The sequence below is a fragment of the Homo sapiens genome, chromosome X (assembly GCF_000001405.40).
Source record: "Homo sapiens chromosome X, GRCh38.p14 Primary Assembly".
NCBI lineage: Eukaryota > Metazoa > Chordata > Mammalia > Primates > Hominidae > Homo > Homo sapiens.
The window spans coordinates 78,283,191-78,302,523 of record NC_000023.11 but is presented as its reverse complement, the minus strand read 5'-3'; the positions used below and the strand labels follow the sequence as shown (position 1 = coordinate 78,302,523).

Sequence of the window (19,333 nt, the reverse complement as noted above, 5' to 3'; positions counted from 1 at the left end):
GGCACATTATCAGCTGTGGTGGCTATGAGGCAAGACTCCATCTGCTTGAGAAAAGCAGAGGGAGAAGTAAAAATGAACCTTGTCTTGCACCTCAGGTACCAGCTCAGCCAGAAAAAAAATGTAGGGCCCCAATGTGGTCTTTAAGTTTCCCTGATTACAAAACTTGGCTCTTGGATAGCATTTCTGGACCTTCCCTGGGCCAGAGGGGAGCCCACTGCCATGCAGGGTGAGTCCAAGGCTAGGCAGCATTCACCACAAGCTGGTAAAGAGCCTTTAGGCCTTAAGGGAACATTGACAGTAGTCTGGGAGTACACCCTTTGGGCTTGAGGTGGCAGTGACCATGGGGTGAGGCTCCTCTGCCTTTGAAAAGGGGAGATGATATGGTTTGGCTGTATCCTCACCCAAATCTCATCTTGATTTGAAACTCCCACAATTCCCATGTGTCGTGGGAGGAACCTGGTGGGAGGTAACTGAATCACGGGGTTGGGTCTTTCCAGTGCTGTTCTTGTGATAGTAAATAAGTCTCATGAGATCCAATGGTTTTATAAAGAGGAGTTCTCCTGCACAAGCTTTCTCTCTTGCCTGCCACCATGTAAGGTGTGGCTTTTGCCTTCTGCCATAATTGTGAGGCCTCCCCAACCACTTGGAACTGTGAGTCAATTAAACCTCTTTTTCATTATAGATTACCCAGTCTCAGGTATGCCTTTATCAGCAGCATGAAAACAGACTAATAACAGTAACTTGGTACTGGAAGAGTGGGGTGCTGCTGTAAAGATACCCAAAGATGTGGAAGCAACTTTGGAACTGGGTAACAGGCAGAGGTTGAAACAGTTTGGAGGGCTCAGAAGAAGAAAGGAAGATGTGGAAAGTAGAACTTCCAAGAGACTTGTTGAATGGCTTTGACCAAAATGCTGATAATAATATGGACAATCAAATCCAAGCTGAGGTGGTCTCAGATGGAGATGAGAAACTTGTTGAGAACCAGAATAAAGGTGACTCTTGCTATGTTTTAGCAAAAAGACTCGTGGCATTTTGCCCCTGCCCTAGAGATTTGTGGAACTCTGAACTTGAGGGAGATAATTTAGGGTATCTGACAGAAGAAATTTCTAAGCAGCAAAGCATTCAAGAAGTTACTTGGGTGCTGTTAAAAGCATTCAGTTTTAAAAGGGAAACAGAGCATAAAAGGTCAGAAAATTTGCAGCCTGATGATGCAATAGAAAAGAAAAACCCATTTTCTGAGAAGAAATTCAAGTCAGCTGCAGAAATTTGAATAAGTAATGAGAAGTCAAATGTTAATCACCAAGACAATGGGGAAAATGTCTCTAGAGCATGTCAGAGACCTTTGCAGCAGCCCCTCCCATCACAGGCCCAGAGGCATAGGAGGAAAAAATGGTTTCATGGGCCAGGCCCAGGAACCCCTGCTTTGTGAAGCCTAGAGACTTTGTGCCCTGCATTCCAGCCACTCTAGCCATGGCTAAAAGGAGCCGAGGTACAGCTTAGGCTGTGGCTTCACAGGGTGCAAGCCCTAAGCCTTGGCAGCTTCCATGTGGTGTTGAGCCTGTGGGTGGACAGAAGTCAAGAATTGAGGTTTGGAAACCTCCAGCTAGATTTCAGAGGATGTATGGAAATGCCTGGATGTACAGGCAGAAATTTGCTGGAGGGGCAGGGCCCTCATGAAGAACCTCTGGTAGAGAGAGCTCATACAGGGGAACTCCAATTTAGAAAAACATCATATTTCATAAGACTTATTCACTATCATGAGAACAGCATGGGATAGACCTGCCCCCATGATTCAATTACCTCTAACCAGGTCCCTTTCATGACACATGGGAATTATGGGAGCTACAATTCAAGATGAGATTTGGGTGGCAACACAGCCAAACTATATCACTGTTTGTTTGGAAGAAAGTAAAGAAAGAGAACAAGTCTCTGTCTGGTAATCTAGAGAATTCTCCTGGATCTTGCACAAGGAACCTCTATGTGTCTGAAAGAACCAAAACATTGCTGGGCTTGGGGTGCCCCCTAAAGCAGATACAGTTTAGATTTCAACACCCAAGTGCTCTCAAATATCTGGAAAGCCTTCCCAAGAAGGGCAGGTAAAAACAAGCCCAAACTGCAAATGCTGAAATAAATACCTAATTTTTCAATGCCCTGACACAGATGAACATCTACAGGTATCAAGACCATCCAGGAGATCATGACCTTGCCAAATGAACTAAATAAGTTTCCAAGGACCAATATTGGAGCAACAGAGATACGTGACCATTCACACAGAGAATTCAAAATAGCTTTGTTGAGGAAACTCTAAGAAATTCAAGATAACACAGAGAAGAAATTCAGAATTCTATCAGGTAAATTTAACAAAGATTAAAATAATTTAAAAGAATCAAGTAGAAATCCTGGAGCTGAAAAATGAAATAGACATGTTGAAGAATGCATCAGAGTCTTTTAATAGCAGAATTGATCCAAAGAAAGGATTAGTAAACTTCAAGACAGGCCATTTGAAGATACATAACCAGAGGAGACAAAAGAAAAAATAATAAAAAACAATGAAGCATTCCTACAGGATCTAAAAAATAGCCTCAAAAGGGCAAATCTAAGAGTGATTAGCTTTAAAGAGGAGGTAGACAAAGAAATAGGGGTAGAAAGCATGTTCAAAGGGATAGTATCAGAGAACTTACTAAATCTAGAGAAAAATATCAATATCCAAGTGCAAGAAAGTTATAGAACACCAAGCAGATTTAACCCAAAGAAGACTACCTAATGGCATTTAATAATCAAAATTTTCAGAGGTCAAAGATAGAGAAAGGATATGAAAAACAATATGAGAAAAGTAACAAATAACATACAATGAAGCTCCAATACCTCTGGCAGCATACTTTTCAGTGAAAATCTTACAGGGCAGGAGAGAGTGGCATTACATATTTAAAGTGCTGAAGGAGAAAAATTCTACCATAAAATAGTGTACCTGGTGGAAATATCCTTCAAACATGAAGGAGAAATAAAGACTTTCCCAGACAAAAAAAAAACTGAGAAATTTTATTATCATCAGATCTGTCCTATAAGAACTGTTAAAGGGATTACTTCAATTATGAAAAGAGTACATTAGTGAGCAATAAATAATCACTTGAATGTACAAAACTTACTGGTAATAGTAAGTACACAGAAAAACACATAATATTATAACATTGTAACTCAGTGTGTGAACTACTCATATACTAAGTAGAAAGATTAAACAATGAACCAATCAAAAATAATAACTACAACAACTTTTCAAGACATATTTTGTACAATAAGATATGAATACAAACAACAAAATGTTAAAAAGTTGTGGGATAAAGTTAAGGCATAGAATTTTTATAAGTATTCTTCTTGCTTTTTCGTTTGTTTGTTTATGCAAATAGTGTTAAGTTTTTATCAGGTTGAAATAATAAATTATAAGATAGTATTTACAGGCCTCATGGTAACCTCAAACCAAACAATGTACAATGGATGCACAAAAAATAATAAGCAAGAAACAATCATATCACCAGCAAAAATCACCTGCACTGAAAATGGGAAGAAAAAAAGAAGGAAGAGAAGAATATAAAACAACCAGAAAACAAATAACAAGATGACAGGATTATCTCCCTACTTATTAATAATGACATTGAATGTATATGAACTAAACTCTCCAATCCAAAGACATAGACTGGCTGAAAGGATGAAAAAACAAGATCCATTGACCTGATGCTTACAAGAAATACACTTCACTTATAAAGGCACACATAGACAGAAAATAAAAGTATGGAAAAAAGACATTCCATGCCAATAAAAAACCAAAAAGAGCAGGAGTCACTATACTTACAACAGACAAAATAGATTTCAACCCAAAAATATAAAAGACAAACAAAGTCACTAAATTATCTTAAATGGGTCAATTCAGCAAGAGGATACAACAATTTTAAATATATATATGCATCCAACAAGGGAGCATCCAGATATATAAAGGAAATATCATTAGAGATAAAGAGAGACATAGGCCCCAGTACAATAATTATTGGAGACTTCAACACCCCACTTTCAGCATTGGACAGATGTTCCAAACAGAAGATCAACAAAGAAAATCAGACTTAATCTGCACTACACACTAAAAGAATCTAACAGATATTCACAGAATATTTCATCCAAGAGCTGCAGAATACACATTCTTTTCCTCAGTACTTAGATTATTCTCAAGGATAAACCATATGTTAGGTCACAAAACAAGTCTTAAAACATTCAAAAAATTGAAATAATATCAAGAATCTTCTCTGTCCACAATGGAATAAAACTGGACATTAATAACAGGAGGAATTTTGGAAACTATACAAATACATGGAAATTAAACAATAAGCTCCTGAGTGACCAGTTTGTCAAGGAAACAATTAAGAAGGAAATTGAAAAAATTTTTGAAACAAACGATAATGGAAACACAACATACCAAAACCTATGGGATATAGCGAAAGTGATACTAAGAGGGAGGTTTATAGCTGCCAGCACCTACATTATAAAAAACAGAAAACTTCAAATGAGCAATCTAAAAATGCATCTTAAACAACTAGAAAAGCAAGAGCAAAGCAAACCCAAATTAGTGGAAGAAAAAGAATAATAAAGATCAGATAAGAAATAAATGAAATTGAAGTGAAAAAACAGTATGAAAGATCAATGAAACAAAAAATCAGTTTTTTGAAAAGTTAAGCAAAATTAACAATCCTTGAGCTAGACTAAGAAAAGAGAGAGATCCAAATAAATAAAATCACAAATGAAAAAGGAGACATTACAACTGATACTGCAGAAATTCAAAGGATTATTAATGGCTACTATAAGCAAGTATATGTCATGAAATTGGAAAATCCAAAAGTAATGGACAAATTGCTAGACACGTGCAACCTACCAAGATTGAACCAGAAAGAAACCCAAAACCTGAACAGATCAATAACAAATAACAAGTTTGAAGTTATAATAAAAAGTTTACCAGTAAAGAAAAGCCTGAGACCTGATGGCATTACTGATGAATTCTACCAAACATTTAAAGAACTCATACCAATCTTCAAACTATTTCAAAAAATAGAGGAGGAGGGAACACTTCCAAATTTATCCTAAGAGGCCAGTATTACCTTGATACCAAAACCAAACAAACATACATCAAAAAAGAAAACTAAAAGCCAATATCTCTGATGAGTATTGATGCAAAAATCATCAATAAAATACTAGCAAACCAAATTTGACAATACATTACAAAGATCATTCATCTTGACCAAGTGGGATTTATCCCTGGAATTCATGGTTCAACATGTACAAATCAATCAATGTGCTACATCATATAAAGAGAATAAAAGACAGAAAACATATAATCATTTTAATTTTATGCTGAAAAATATTTTGGTAGAATTCAGCATCCCTTCATGATCAAAACTCTCAAAAAACTAAGTATAAAAGAAACATGCCTCAAGTAATAAAAGCCCTATTACAACAGACTCACAGCTAGAATTTTACTGAATGAGGAAAAACTAAAAGTCTTTCCTCTAAGATCTGGAACAAAACAAGGATGCCCACTTCCACCACAATTATTCAACATAGTACTGGAAATCCTAGCTAGAGCAATCAGAAAAGAAAAAGAAATAAAGAACATCCAAGTTAAAAAGGAATAAGTCAACTTATCCTTGTTTGCAGATGATATAATCTTATATTTGGAAAAACCTAAAGATTCCACAAAAAAATCATTAGAACTGAAAAATAAATTCCATAAAGTTGCAGGATACAAAATCAACATACAAAAATCAGTAGCATTTCTATAAGCCAACAGTGAACAATGTGAAAAAGAAATTTTAAAAGTAATCCTATTACAAGAGCCACAAATAAAATTAAATACCTAGGAATTAACCAAAGAAGTGAAAGATTTCTATAAGAAAACTATAAGATACTGGTGAAAGAAATTGAAGAGGATACCAAAAAATAGAAAGATATTTCGTTTTCATATTTTGGAATAATCAATATTTTTTAAATGTCCATACTACCCAAAGCAGTCTATAGATTCAATGCAATTTCTATCAAAATATCAATGACATTCTTCACAGAAATAGAAAAAACAATGCTAAAATTTATATGGAAACACAACAGACCCAGAATAGCCAAAGCTGTCCTAAGCAAAATAAGAAAACTGGAGGAATCACATTACCTAACTTGAAATTATACTATTAAACCATAGTAACCAAAACAGCATGGAACTGGCATAAAAACAGACAGGCAGACCAACGGAACAGAATAGAGAACCCAGAAACACAATCACTCACCTATAGTGAACTCATTTTCAACAAAGTTGCCAAGAACATACACTGGGGAAAAGACACACTCTTCAACAAATGGTGCTGGTAAAAATAAATATCCATAGGCAGGAGAATAAAATGTGACCCCCATCTCTTACCATATACAAAAATCAAATCAAAATGGATTAAAGACTTAAATCTAAGGCCTCAAGCTTGAAACTACTACAAGAAAACATTGGGGAAATGCTCCAGGACATTGTTCTGGGCAAAAAAAATATTGAGTAATACCCTACAAGCACAGGCAACCAGAGCAAAAAATGGACAAATGGGATACTATCAAGTTAAAAATCTTCTACATAGCAAAGGAAACAATCAACAAAGTGAACAGAAAACCCACAGATTGGGAGAAAATATTTGCAAACTACCCATATGACAAGAGATTTATAACCATAATATATAAGGAGTTCAAACAATTGTATAGGAAAAGAAATCTAATAATTTAATCAAAAAATGGGCAAAAGATTTGAAAAGACATTTCTCGAAAGAAGACATACAAATGTTAAATAGGCATATGAAAAGGCATTCAACATCATTTATCATCAGAGAAATACAAATCAAAACTGCAATGAGGTATCATCTCACCCAAGTCAAAATTGTTTATATACAAAAGACAGGCAGTAACAAATGCTGGTGAGAATGTGAAGAAAAGGAATGTCTTATATACTGTTGATAAGAATGTAAATTAGTACAACCACTATGGAGAACAGTTTGGAGGTTCCTCAAAAAACCAAAAATAGAATTCCCATATGATCTGGCACTCCCACTGCTGGATATATACCCCACCCCCGCAAAAAAAAAAAAAAAAAGGAAATCAGGATATCAAAGAGATATCCGCACTTCTGTTTGTGGCAGCACTATCACAATAGCCAATATCTGGGAACAACCTAAAGGTCCATCAACAGCTGAATGGATAAAGAAAAAGACGGTACATATACACAATGGAGTACTATTCAGGCATAAAATAATGACTTTAATACTGTCATTTGCAACAACATGGATGGAACAGAAGATCATTATTTAAGTGAAATAAGCCAGGCACAGAAAGATAAACATTGGTTCCATTCCAAGATGGCCAAATAGGAACAGCTCTGGTCTGCAGCTCCCAGCATGATCAATGAAGAAGATGGGTGATTTCAGCATTTCCAACTGAAGTACCTGTTTCATCTCATTGGGACTTGTTGGACAGTGGGTGCAGCCCATGGAGGGCAAGCCGAAGTGGGGCGGGTTGTCACCTCACCTGGGAAGTGCAAGGGGTCATGGGATTTCCCATTCCTAGCCAAGGGAAGCTGTGACAGACTGTACCTGGAAAATCAGTACACTCCCACCCAAATACTGTGCTTTTCCCATAGTCTTAGCAACTGGCGGACCAGGAGATTCTCTCATGTGCCTAGCTCGGCAGGTCACACGCACACAGAGCCTTGCTCACTATCAGCACAGCAGCCTGAGATCAACCTGTGAGGCTTCAGCCTGCTGGGTGGAGGGGCATCCACCATTGCTGAGGCATGAGTAGGTAAACAAAGCAGCTGGGAAGCTCGAACTGGGCAGATCCCACTGCAGCTCAGCAAGGCCTACTGCCTCTATAGACTCCACCTCTGTGGGCAGGGTGTAGCTGAACAAAAGGCAGCAGACAACTTCTGCAGACATAAATGTCCCTGTCTGACAGCTCCAAAGAAAGCAGGGGTTCTCCCAGCATGGTGTTTGAGCTCTGAGAATGGACAGACTGCCTCCTCAAGTGGGTCCCTGAACCCCGTGTAGACTAACAGGGAGTCACCTCCCAGTAGGGGCCGACAGACACCTCATACAGGTGAGTGCCCCTCTGGGATGAAGCTTTCAGAGGAAGGATCAGGCAGCAATATTTGCTGTTCTGCAATATTTGCTGTTCTGCAGCTTCCACTGGTGATACCCAGGCAAACAGCGTCTGGAGTGGAACTCCAGCAAACTCCAGCAGACCTGCAGCTGATGGTCCTGACTGTTAGAAGGAAAACTAACAAACAGAAAGGACAGCCACACCAAAACCACATCTGTACGTCATCATCATCAAAGACCAAAGTCAGATAAAACCACAAAGATGGGGAGAAACCAGAGCAGAAAAGCTGAAAATTCTAAAAATCAGAGCGCCTCCTCTCCTCCAAAGGAACGCAGCTCCTCACCAGCAATGGAACAAAGTTGGACAGAGAATGACTTTGACAAGTTGAGAGAAGAAGGCTTCAGAAGATCAATAATAACAAACTTCTCCGAGCTAAAGGAGGATGTTTGAACCAATCACAAAGAAGCTAAAAACCTTGAAAAAAGATTGGACGAATGGCTAACTAGAAAAAAGAGCATAGAGAAGACCTTAAATGACCTGAAGGAGCTGAAAACCATGGCACATGAACTACATGATGCATGCACAAGCATCAGTAGCTGATTCAATCAACTGGAAGAAAGGTTGTCAGTGATTGAAGATCAAATGAATGAAATGAAGCAAGAAGAGAAGTTTAGAGAAAAAAAGGGTAAAAAGAAATGAATAAAGCCTCCAAGAAATATGGGACTATGTGGAAAGGCCAAATCTACGTCTGATTGGTGTACCTGAACATGACGGGGAGAATGGAACCAAGTTGGAAAACACTCTTCGGGGTATTATCCAAGAGAACTTCCCCAACCTAGCAAGGCAGGCCAACATTCAAATTCAGGAAATACAGAGAATGCCAAAAAGATACTCCTCAAGAAGAGCAACTCCAGGATACATAATTGTCAGATTCACCAAAGTTGAAATGAAGGAAAAAATGTAAAGGGCAGCCAGAGAGAAAGGTCGGGTGACCCAAAAAGGGAAGCCCATGAGACTAACAGCGGATCTCTCAGCAGAAACTTTACAAGCCAGAAGAGAGTGGGGGCCAATATTCAACATTCTTAAAGAAAAGAATTTTCAACCCAGAATTTCACATCCAGCCAAACTAAGCTTCATAAGTAAAGGAGAAATAAAATCCTTTACAGACAAGCAAATGCTGAGAGATTTTGTCACCACCAGGCCTGCCCTAAAAGAGCTCCTGAAGGAAGCACTAAACATGGAAAGGAACAACCAGTACCAGCCACTGCAAAAACATGCCAAATTGTAAAGACTGTTGATGCTCTAAAGAAACTGCATCAAGTAATGGCCAAAATAACCAGCTAACATCATAATGGCAGGATCAAATTCACACATAACAATATTAACCTTAAATGTAAATGGTCCAAATGCCCTCAATAAAAGGACACAGACTGGCAAATTGGATAAACAGTCAAGACCCATCAGTATGCTGTATTCAGGAGACCCATCTCACGTGCAAAGACACACATAGGCTCAAAATAAAGGGATGGAGGAATACTTAGCAAGCAAAGGGAAAGCAAAAAAAAAAAAAACAGCAGGGGTTGCAATCCTAGTTTCTGATAAAACAGACTTTAAACCAACAAAGATCAAAAGAAACAAAGAAGGCCATTACATAATGGTAAAGGGATCAATTCAACAAGAAGCGCTAACTATCCTAAATATATATGCCTCCAATACAAGAGCAGCCAGATTCATAAAGCAAGTCCTTAGAGACCTACAAAGAGACTTAGACTGCCACACAATAATAATGGGAGTCTTTAACACCCCACTGTCAATATTAGACAGATCAATGAGACAGAATGTTAACAAGGATATCCAGGACTTGAACTCAGCTATGCATCAAGCAAACCTAATAGACATCTACAGAACTCTCCACCCAAATCCACAGAATACACATTCTTCTCAGCACCACATCGCACTTATTCTAAAATTGACTGCATAATTGGAAGTAAAGCACTCCTTAGCAAATGTAAAAGAACAGAAATCACAACAAGTTGTCTCTCAGACAACAGTGCAATCAAATTAGAACTCAGGATTAAGAAACTCACTCAAAACTGCTCAACTACATGGAAACTGAACAACCTGCTCCTAAATGACTACTGGGTACATAAAGAAATGAAGGCAGAGATAAAGATGTTCTTTGAAACCAATGAAAACAAAGACACAACGTACCAGAATCTCTGGGACACATTTAAAGCAGTTTGTAGAGGAAAATTTATAGCACTAAATGTTCACAAAGGAAAGCAGGAAAGATCTAAAATTGGCACCCTAACATCACAATTTAAAGAACTGGAGAAGCAACAGCAAACAAATTCAAAGCTAGCAGAAGGCAAGAAATAACTAAGATCAGAGCAGAACTAAAGGAGATAGAGACACAAAAAAACTCTTCAAAAAAATCAATGAATCCAGGAGCTGTTTTTTTTTTTGAAAAGATCAACAAAATTGATAGACCGCTAGCAAGACTAATAAAGAAGAAAAGAGAGAAGAATCAAATAGACACAATTAAAAAACAATAAAGGGGATATCACCACTGACCCCACAGCAATACAAACTACCATCAGACAATACTAAAAACACCTCTATGCAAATAAACTGGAAAATCTAGAAGAAATGAATAAATTCCTGGACACATACACCCTGCCAAGACTAAACCAGGAAGAAGTTGAATCTCTAAATAGACTAATAACAGGTGCAGAAATTGAGGCAATAATTAATAGCCTACCAACCAAAAAAAGTCCAGGACCAGATGGATTCACAACTGAATTCTACCAGAGACAAAAACAGGAGCTGGTACCATTCCTTCTGAAACTATTCCAATCAATAGAAAAAGAGGGAATCCTCCCTAACTCATTTTATGAGGCCAGCATCATCCTGATACCAAAGCCTGGCAGAGAGACAAAAAAAAAGAAAAAAAGATTTTTAGACTAATATCCCTGATAAACATCGATGCAAAAATTCTCAATAAAATACTGGCAAACTAAATCCAGCAGCACATCAAAAAGCTTATCCACCACGATCAAATCGGCTTCATCCCTGGGATGCAAGGCTGGTTCGACATATGCAAATCAATAAACATAACCCATCACATAAACAGAACCAACAATAAAAACCATATGATTTTCTCAATAGGTGGAGAAAAGGCCTTCAACAAAATTCAACAGCCCTTCATGCTAAAAACTCTCAATAAATTAGGTATTGATGGGATGTATCTCAAAATAATAAGAGCTATTTATGACAAACTGACAGCCAATATCATACTGAATGGGCAAAAACTGGAAGCATTCCTTTTGAAAACTGGCTGAAGACAAGGATGCCCTCTCTCACCACTCCTATTCAACATGGTGTTGGAAGTTCTGGCCTGGGCAATCAGGCAAGAGAAAGAAATAAAGGGTATTCAACTAGGAAAAGAGGAAGTCAAATTGTCCCTGTTTGCAGATGACATGATTGTATATTTAGGAAATCCCATCATCTCAGCCCAAAATCTCCTTAAGCTGATAAGCAACTTCAGCAAAGTTTCAGGATGCAAAATCAATGTGCAAAAATCACAAGCATTCCTATACAACAATAACACACAAACAGAGAGCCAAATCATGAGTGAACTTCTATTCACAATTGCTACAAAGAGAATAAAATACCTAGGAATCCAACTTACAAGGGATGTGAAGGACCTCTTCAAGGAGAAATACAAACCACTGCTCAATGAAATAAAAGAGGACACAAACCAATAGAAGAAAATTCCATGCTCATGGATAGGAAGAATCAATATTGTGAAAGTGGCCATACTGCCTGAGATAATTTCAATGCCATCATCATCAAGCTACCAATGACTTTCTTCACAGAATTGGAAAAAAACTACTTTAAAGTTCATATGGAACCAAAAAAGAGCCAGCATTGCCAAGACAATCCTAAGCCAAAAGAACAAAGCTGGAGGCATCACACTACCTGACTTCAAGCTATACTATAAGGCTACAGTAACCAAAACAGCATGGTTCTGGTACCAAAACAGGTATACAGACCAATGGAACAGAAGAGAGGCCTCAGAAGTAACACCACCCATCTACAACCATCTGATTTTTGACAAACCTGACAAAAACAAGAAATGGGGAAAGGATTCCCTATTTAATAAATGGTGCTGGGAAAACTGGCTAGCCATATGTAGAAAGCTGAAACTGGATCCCTTCCTTATACCTTATACAAAAAGTAATTAAGATGGATTAAAGACTTAAATGTAAGACCTAAAACCATAAAAACCCTAGAAGAAAACTTAGGCAATACCATTCAGGACAAGGGATTGGCAAAGCCTTCATGACTGAAACACCAAAAGCAATGGCAACAAAAGCCAAAATTGACAAATGGGATCTAATTAAACTAAAGAGCTTCTGCACAGCAGAAGAAACTACCATCAGAGTGAACAGGCAACCTACAGAATGGGAGAAAATTTTTGCAATCTACCCATCTGACAAAGGGCTAATATCCAGAATCTACAATGAACTTAAACAAATTTACAAGAAAAAAATAAACAACCCCATCAAAAAGTGGGCAAAGGATATGAACAGACACTTCTCAAAAGAAGACATTTATGCAGCCAACAGACACATGAAAAAATGCTCATCATCACTGGCCATCAGAGAAATGCAGATCAAAACTACAATGAGATACCATCTCACGCCAGTTAGAATGGCGATCATTAAAAAATCAGGAAACAACAGATGCTGGAGAGGATGTGGAGAAATAGGAACACTTTTACACTGTTGGTGGGAGTGTACTTTAGTTCAACCATTGTGGAAGACAGTGTGGCGATTTCTCAAGGATCTAGAACTAGAAATACCATTTGACCCAGCAATCCCATTACTGGGTATATACCCAAAGATTATAAATCATTCTACTATAAAGACACATGCACACATATGTTTATTGTGGCAATATTCACAATAGCAAAGACTTGGAACCAACCCATATGTCCATCAATGATAGACTGGATAAAGAAAATGTGGCAAATATACATCATGGAATACTATGCAGTCATAAAAAAGGATGAGTTCATGTCCTTTGCAGGGACATGGATGAAGCTAGAAGCCCTCATTCTCAGCAAACTATCACAAGGACAGAAAACCAAACACCGCATGTTCTCACTCATAGGTGGGAACCAAACAATGAGAACACTTGGACACAGGGTGGGGAACATCACACACCAGGGCCTGTCGGGGGGTGGAGGGCTGGGGGAGGGATAGCATTAGGAGAAATACCTAATGTAAATGATGAGTTGATGGGTGCAGCGAACCAACATGGCACATGTATACCTATGTAACAAACCTGCACGTTGTGCACATGTACCCTAGTACTTAAAGTATAATTAAAAAAAAAAAAGAAACATTGCATGTTCCCACTCATTTGTGGGATCTAAAAATCAAAACAATTTAACTCATGGATATAGACAGTTGAAAGGTGGTTACCAGAGGTTTGGAAGGGTAGTGAGAGGAGGTGGGGATGGTTGATGGACACAAAAACATTAGTTAGAGAGAATGAATAAGACCCAGTATTTGACAGAACAACAGAGTGACTATAGTGAATAATAATTTATTTGTACATTTTAAATAACTAAAAGAGTAAAATTGGATTGTTTGTAACACAAAGGACAAATGCTTGAGGAGAAAGATACCCCATTCTTCATGATGTGATTATTATGCATTGCATGCCTGTATCAAAACATTTCATGTACCCTATAAATATATACAGCTATTATGTCCCCACAGAAATGAAAAATAAAAAAATTTAAAAACATAAATTGAATGACCACAGAGAACACTAATGACAAAGCAACAAATGGAAATTATCAAGAAAGGTACAGACAAAATACTGTGGCATTTCAAAGAAGAGAAATGTAAAATTGGGTTAAAAGGATCAAGAATGGCTTACTACTTCACTAGAAACAAAAAAGAAGTATTATTACAATTTCACTTAGTAGAAGATACCAGTCTGGGGACTACCTGGAGACACTTTTGGATCACTAGCTGTTCCTGGACCTCACTTAGCACGATAGTATATAATTGATTCTTGTTCATACAATTCTATTGCAGCAACAATATAGTTGTATGGTATATGTGTTGGCACCTTATTTTTTTTTTCAAGAGACAAGGTCTCAGTCTGTCACCAGGCTGGAGTGCACTGGTACAATTATGGCTCACTGCAGCCTTGACCTCACGGGCTCAAGTAATTCTCCCCGCCTGAGCCTTCTGAGTAGCCAGGACTACAGGCACTATGCTGCCATACATGGCTAATTATTTTATCATTTTTTTTTTGTTCTTTGTTTTTTTCTGAGAGAACTAATTTTTTTTGTAATTATCTTACCATTCATGTCCCTTAAAAACAGCTGTACTGAGGTAGAACTGACATGCAGTAATCTGCACACATTTAAAGTGCACAATTTGATGAGTTTTCACACATGTATATACTTATGAAACCATCATCATAATCAAGACAGTGAATATATCCATCACCCCAAAGTATCCCCTTTGTAATTTCTCCCTCCTGTCTCTAGTTATGGGCTCTCCCCTTCCTACCCTGTTCCTATTCCCAGGGATCTGCTGATTTGCTCTTCATCACTATGCACTAGTTTATCTAGAATTTTATATAAATGGAATAACACAGTATGGATTCTTTTTTGTCTGGCTTCTTTCACTCAGTATAATTGTTCTGAGATTCATCCACATTGTTGACTGTATCAATAATTTCATTTTTAGCAAAAACTCCAGCGTTTTAAAGGTATAATTTATACATCATAAAATTCGCCCATTGTAAGTGTACAATTCAATTATTTATAGTAAATTTCCAGAACTGTGCAGTCATCACCACAATGCAATTTTAGAACACTTTCACCACCCCCAGAAGATCCTTTGTGTCCAGTTGCAATTACTCCCTGCTCCCACGTGTGGATTCAGGCAACTATCACCTGTCTCTATAGTTTGTCTTTTTGGGATATTTCAGATAAATGGAATAAGCAAAATGTGGTCTTTTGCATATAGCTTTTCCATTTAGCAAATGTTCTTGAGTTGATACATGTTGTAGCATGTATCAGTACTTCCTCGTGACTTTGAGTAAAGCAAAAATTTCTTAGATATGGCACCAAAATCACAATCTATAAAAGAAAAGTTGATAAATTGGATGTTATCACAATGAAAACTTCTGTTGTTTGCAAGACACTGTTAGGAGAATAAAAACGCAACCCATAAAATAGTAGCAAATATTTGCAAAGCATATATTTGATGTAGGTATTGTGTCCAGAACATATAAAGAACTGTCATACACAATAATAAGAAAATAAACAACCAATGAAAAATGTGTGAAATATTTGAATAAGCATTTCACCAAGGGAAATATATGTATGGCAAATAAGCACATGAAAAGGGGCTCAATATCATTCACGCAAATCAAAATCAAAATGAGATATCACAACACACATAGTAGATGGATATAATTTAAAAGACTGACCATACCAAGTGTTAGCATATGGAGCTATGGAGGGGATACCAAGTAGTATACCCACATTACTCACCTTAAAAAGCTGTTTGTCAGTTTTTTTAAAAGTTTAAACACCGCATGTTCTCACTCATAGGTGGGAATTGAACAATGAGAACATATGGACACAGGAAGGGGAACATCACACTCTGGGGACTGTTGTGGGGAGGGGGGAGGGATAGCATTAGGAGATATACCTAATGCTAAATGACGAGTTAACGGGTGCAGCACACCAGCATAGCACATGTATACATATGTAACTAACCTGCACATTGTGCACATGTACCCTAAAACTTAAAGTGTAATAATAAAAATAAAATAAAATAAAAGTTTAACATACACCTACCTTGTAATCCAGCTACCCAAGAAAAGTGAAAACATGCCCATATAGAGACTTGTACATAAATGTTTGTGGAAGCTTTATCTGTAATAGTCAAAACTTGAAAGCAACTCATATGTCCATCAGTGAGTAAATGTATAAACAATTTGTATATCTATATAATGAAATCCTATTCAGCAACATTTTTTTTATTTTTTGTAGAGTGGTCTTGCTGTGCTGCCCATGCTTGTCTCAAATTCCTGACCTCAAGCAATCCTCCCATCTCACCCTCCCGAAGCACTGGGATTACACAACTAACCTGGGGCCTGACATTCTTAGAAAACCTCTGGGCTCTCTTATTTACCTTGCACACTAGAGCTTGACCAGGTTATAGGTTCAATAGCTGCTAAGGGCTGATGCAGAAAAAGTATCCTCTTCCTTATAAGAATAGGGGCTTCTTAAATATTTGTTAACCTGAACTGAATTGGACTTAACATGAGCCGAATAAAAGATCTGAGTAGTTCGTGAATTAAACAATTAAAATCAAAATCATACAACCACATTTGACTTCATTAACTCACCTTTACCCTCCCTATCACCCAGATAACAATGGTAGAGCCCAGTATTGGCAGAGCTCCTGTCAGAGACAAGAGTCCTCAAGGAACTGAAAAGGAAAGAGAAGCAAGGAGTGAAAATATTGAGTGCCTACTATGTGCAAGGCTAATTCATAAAGGAACCATAGAAGACCCTTCAGAATCCCAAACTTGAAAAATACTACACGGTTGCCCAGACAATGTGACATTTACTCGCTTGTGTATGTAAAGATTGGACTAAATTGTAATTGCACAGCCACCATGGAAATGGATAACTAGATAGTGCATTAAGCTGGTAATATTAAACTTCTCATAGGTGGGTCTTAGAAATTCATAAACTTTCTTTCTTGTCCCACGCTAGGGAAAAATATAAGCTTTGTCTAAACACAAAACCAGGACAGAGCCAAGTTAATTTTCTGCACAGATGAGTAGAATCATATAATTTCAGGATCAGAAAGGAATTTTTTTTTTTTTTTTTTTTTGAGACGGAGTCTCGCTCTGTAGCCCAGGCTGGAGTGAAGTGGCGCGATCTCGGCTCACTGCAAGCTCCGCCTCCCGGGTTCACGCCATTCTCCTGCCTCAGCCTCTCCGAGTAGCTGGGACTAAAGGCGCCCGCCACCATGCCCGGCTAATTTTTTGTATTTTTCAGTAGAGACGGGGTTTCACCGTGGTTCCTATCTCCTGACCTCGTGATCCGCCCGCCTCGGCCTCCCAAAGTGCTGGGATTACAAGCGTGAGCCACCGCACCCAGCCAGAAAGGATTTTTATACATTCAACATTCAGTCACTAGAACTTTATTGATGTACGGAGACCCGGGACAAGCTAAACAAACTTAAAAAAAATATGTTTATTGCCTGATTGACAAAATATAAAAGACAACTCTGAGTAATTTTGCACCAGCAACACCAGCAACTTTACCCAGACTGTAGTAGGTTACATATGTCAACTTCTTACCTAGAGAAAAAGGAACAATTTGGAGAGGGAGAAGAAAGTGGAGAAGATCTAAGAAATGATTATCTGAGTACAAGGGGGGTTCGAACTCCAATATTGCAGCTGTAGGTTCAGGTTTCTACTTTTAACACTAGACTATATTTTTTATTTTTGCATTTCTTTTATTTTCCTTTTTTCTTTTTTTTTTTTTTTTAGTAGAGTTCTTTTAGAAAGTTCCAGCCTGTTTCTACTGGTTAAGAATAAACCGAAGGGGCCAGGTGTAGTGGCTCATGCCTGCAGTCCCAGCACTTTGGGAGGCTGAAGCGAGCAGATCACCTGAGGTCGGGGAGTTCGAGACCAGCCTGGCCAACATGGTGAAACCTCATCTCTACTAAAAATACAAAAATTAGCTGGGTGTGGTGGCGTATGCCTGCAATCCCAGCTACTCAGGAGGCTGAGGCAGGAGAATTGCTTGAACCCGGGAGGCGGAGGTCAGAGTGAGTGGAGATCACGCCACTGCACTCCAGCCACTCCAGCCTGGGCAGAGTGAGACTCTGTCTAAAATAAATAAAATTTTAAAAATTTTAAAAAAAGAATAAACTGAAGGAAAGTGTTTATTTTGTTAGCGCTTGGACCACAGATAAAGGAATAGTAGCTAGCCTCTGGAGGCCTTGCAGGCAGGAATTAAAGTTGCCATAGGACAACAAAAACTTAGAAGAAAAGCATTCAAGTTGCTCCTCCTTCAAGAAAGCCCATCTCTGCTCATCTCTTGGAGATTTATTATACTTTGTTAGATTATTGAACATAATTTAATTGAAGAGAAGAGATATATGCTTATGAAAAGTTAACTACAAACAGTTAATCTCCAAAAGTATATAATATATGCCAAATTAGTGATATAAACATTATATGCTATTATAGTTTATAAGGAGAAGAGTGCAAGGTTCTTTAAGCCATTCGTCCTTTAAGGAAAACTATTTCTAAGCCATCCCAGACAATATACTTGATATTTTTAATGTTCTAACACCTATTCCCAGCAATCCAGATCCCTGGATGTAAAGTTCCAAATTACTTCCCCTCTTAACTTTATAACCAAGTGTTTAGAAGAGAAGATAGAGGAAATACCCTGGTTTCATAGAGAGAGGAATATTTTATAATAGTGTGTTCATTTTTAGATACAGATGCTACATGCACACAGCAGCAAACATCTGTGATGAGCCCTTGTCTGTATTCCAAGTTTCCCCCTGGGACTGTAAAAACAGATGGAGAAAAAAGAAGGAGACACAGAATTCAGTGACTAGCCCTAAATCTGTCAGTAAAGATTTGATGCCCCATTACACACTCTGGATCTATACATAAGGCTGCTAAGTTCTTATGACCCTTCTGGACTGCTTCTACAGTTGTTAACTGCCTTTTCAATCTTATGATTTCAGCGTGGGCTTCCTCTAATATTACACCGTAAAAGGCATTGATCACCATAAGAAGGAACATTTGTGAAGGTACTCCAGTGCCAGAAAGAGGTATACCTGAATTTTCCAAATGAACTTTGCTTTTTCAACTTGCAGTTATCTTAACAAAGTAACTTACTTCATTATTCTCATGAAAATAAAATCAATTCTATTTATGTTTGTTGCTAGCTTTTATTAACCCATTTGTTTTCTGCTAAGACGGCTTTTACAATACTGTATTGTAACCTCTTCACACTTCTAGGCTATCATTCCTATCCCCCACTAGAAAATGAGCTGCTTGAAGGCAGGGATGAGGTCTTAAGTATCTTATATTT

General features: G+C 37.9%; 1 protein-coding gene across 4 annotated transcripts in view; it reads left to right on the top strand.

Moving 5' to 3' along the window:
• Nucleotides 1-19,333, top strand: part of CYSLTR1 (cysteinyl leukotriene receptor 1) — a 56,144-nt gene that overhangs the window by 25,088 nt on the left and 11,723 nt on the right. For 3 of the 4 annotated variants that reach the window (NM_006639.4, NM_001282187.2, NM_001282188.2), the window contains one exon: nucleotides 18,984-19,070. The exons of the other annotated variant lie outside the window; for it this stretch is intronic. The gene's annotated coding sequence lies outside the window, so the exon portion shown is untranslated. The remainder of the gene's footprint in view (nucleotides 1-18,983; nucleotides 19,071-19,333) is intronic. 4 annotated transcript variants of the gene reach the window in all.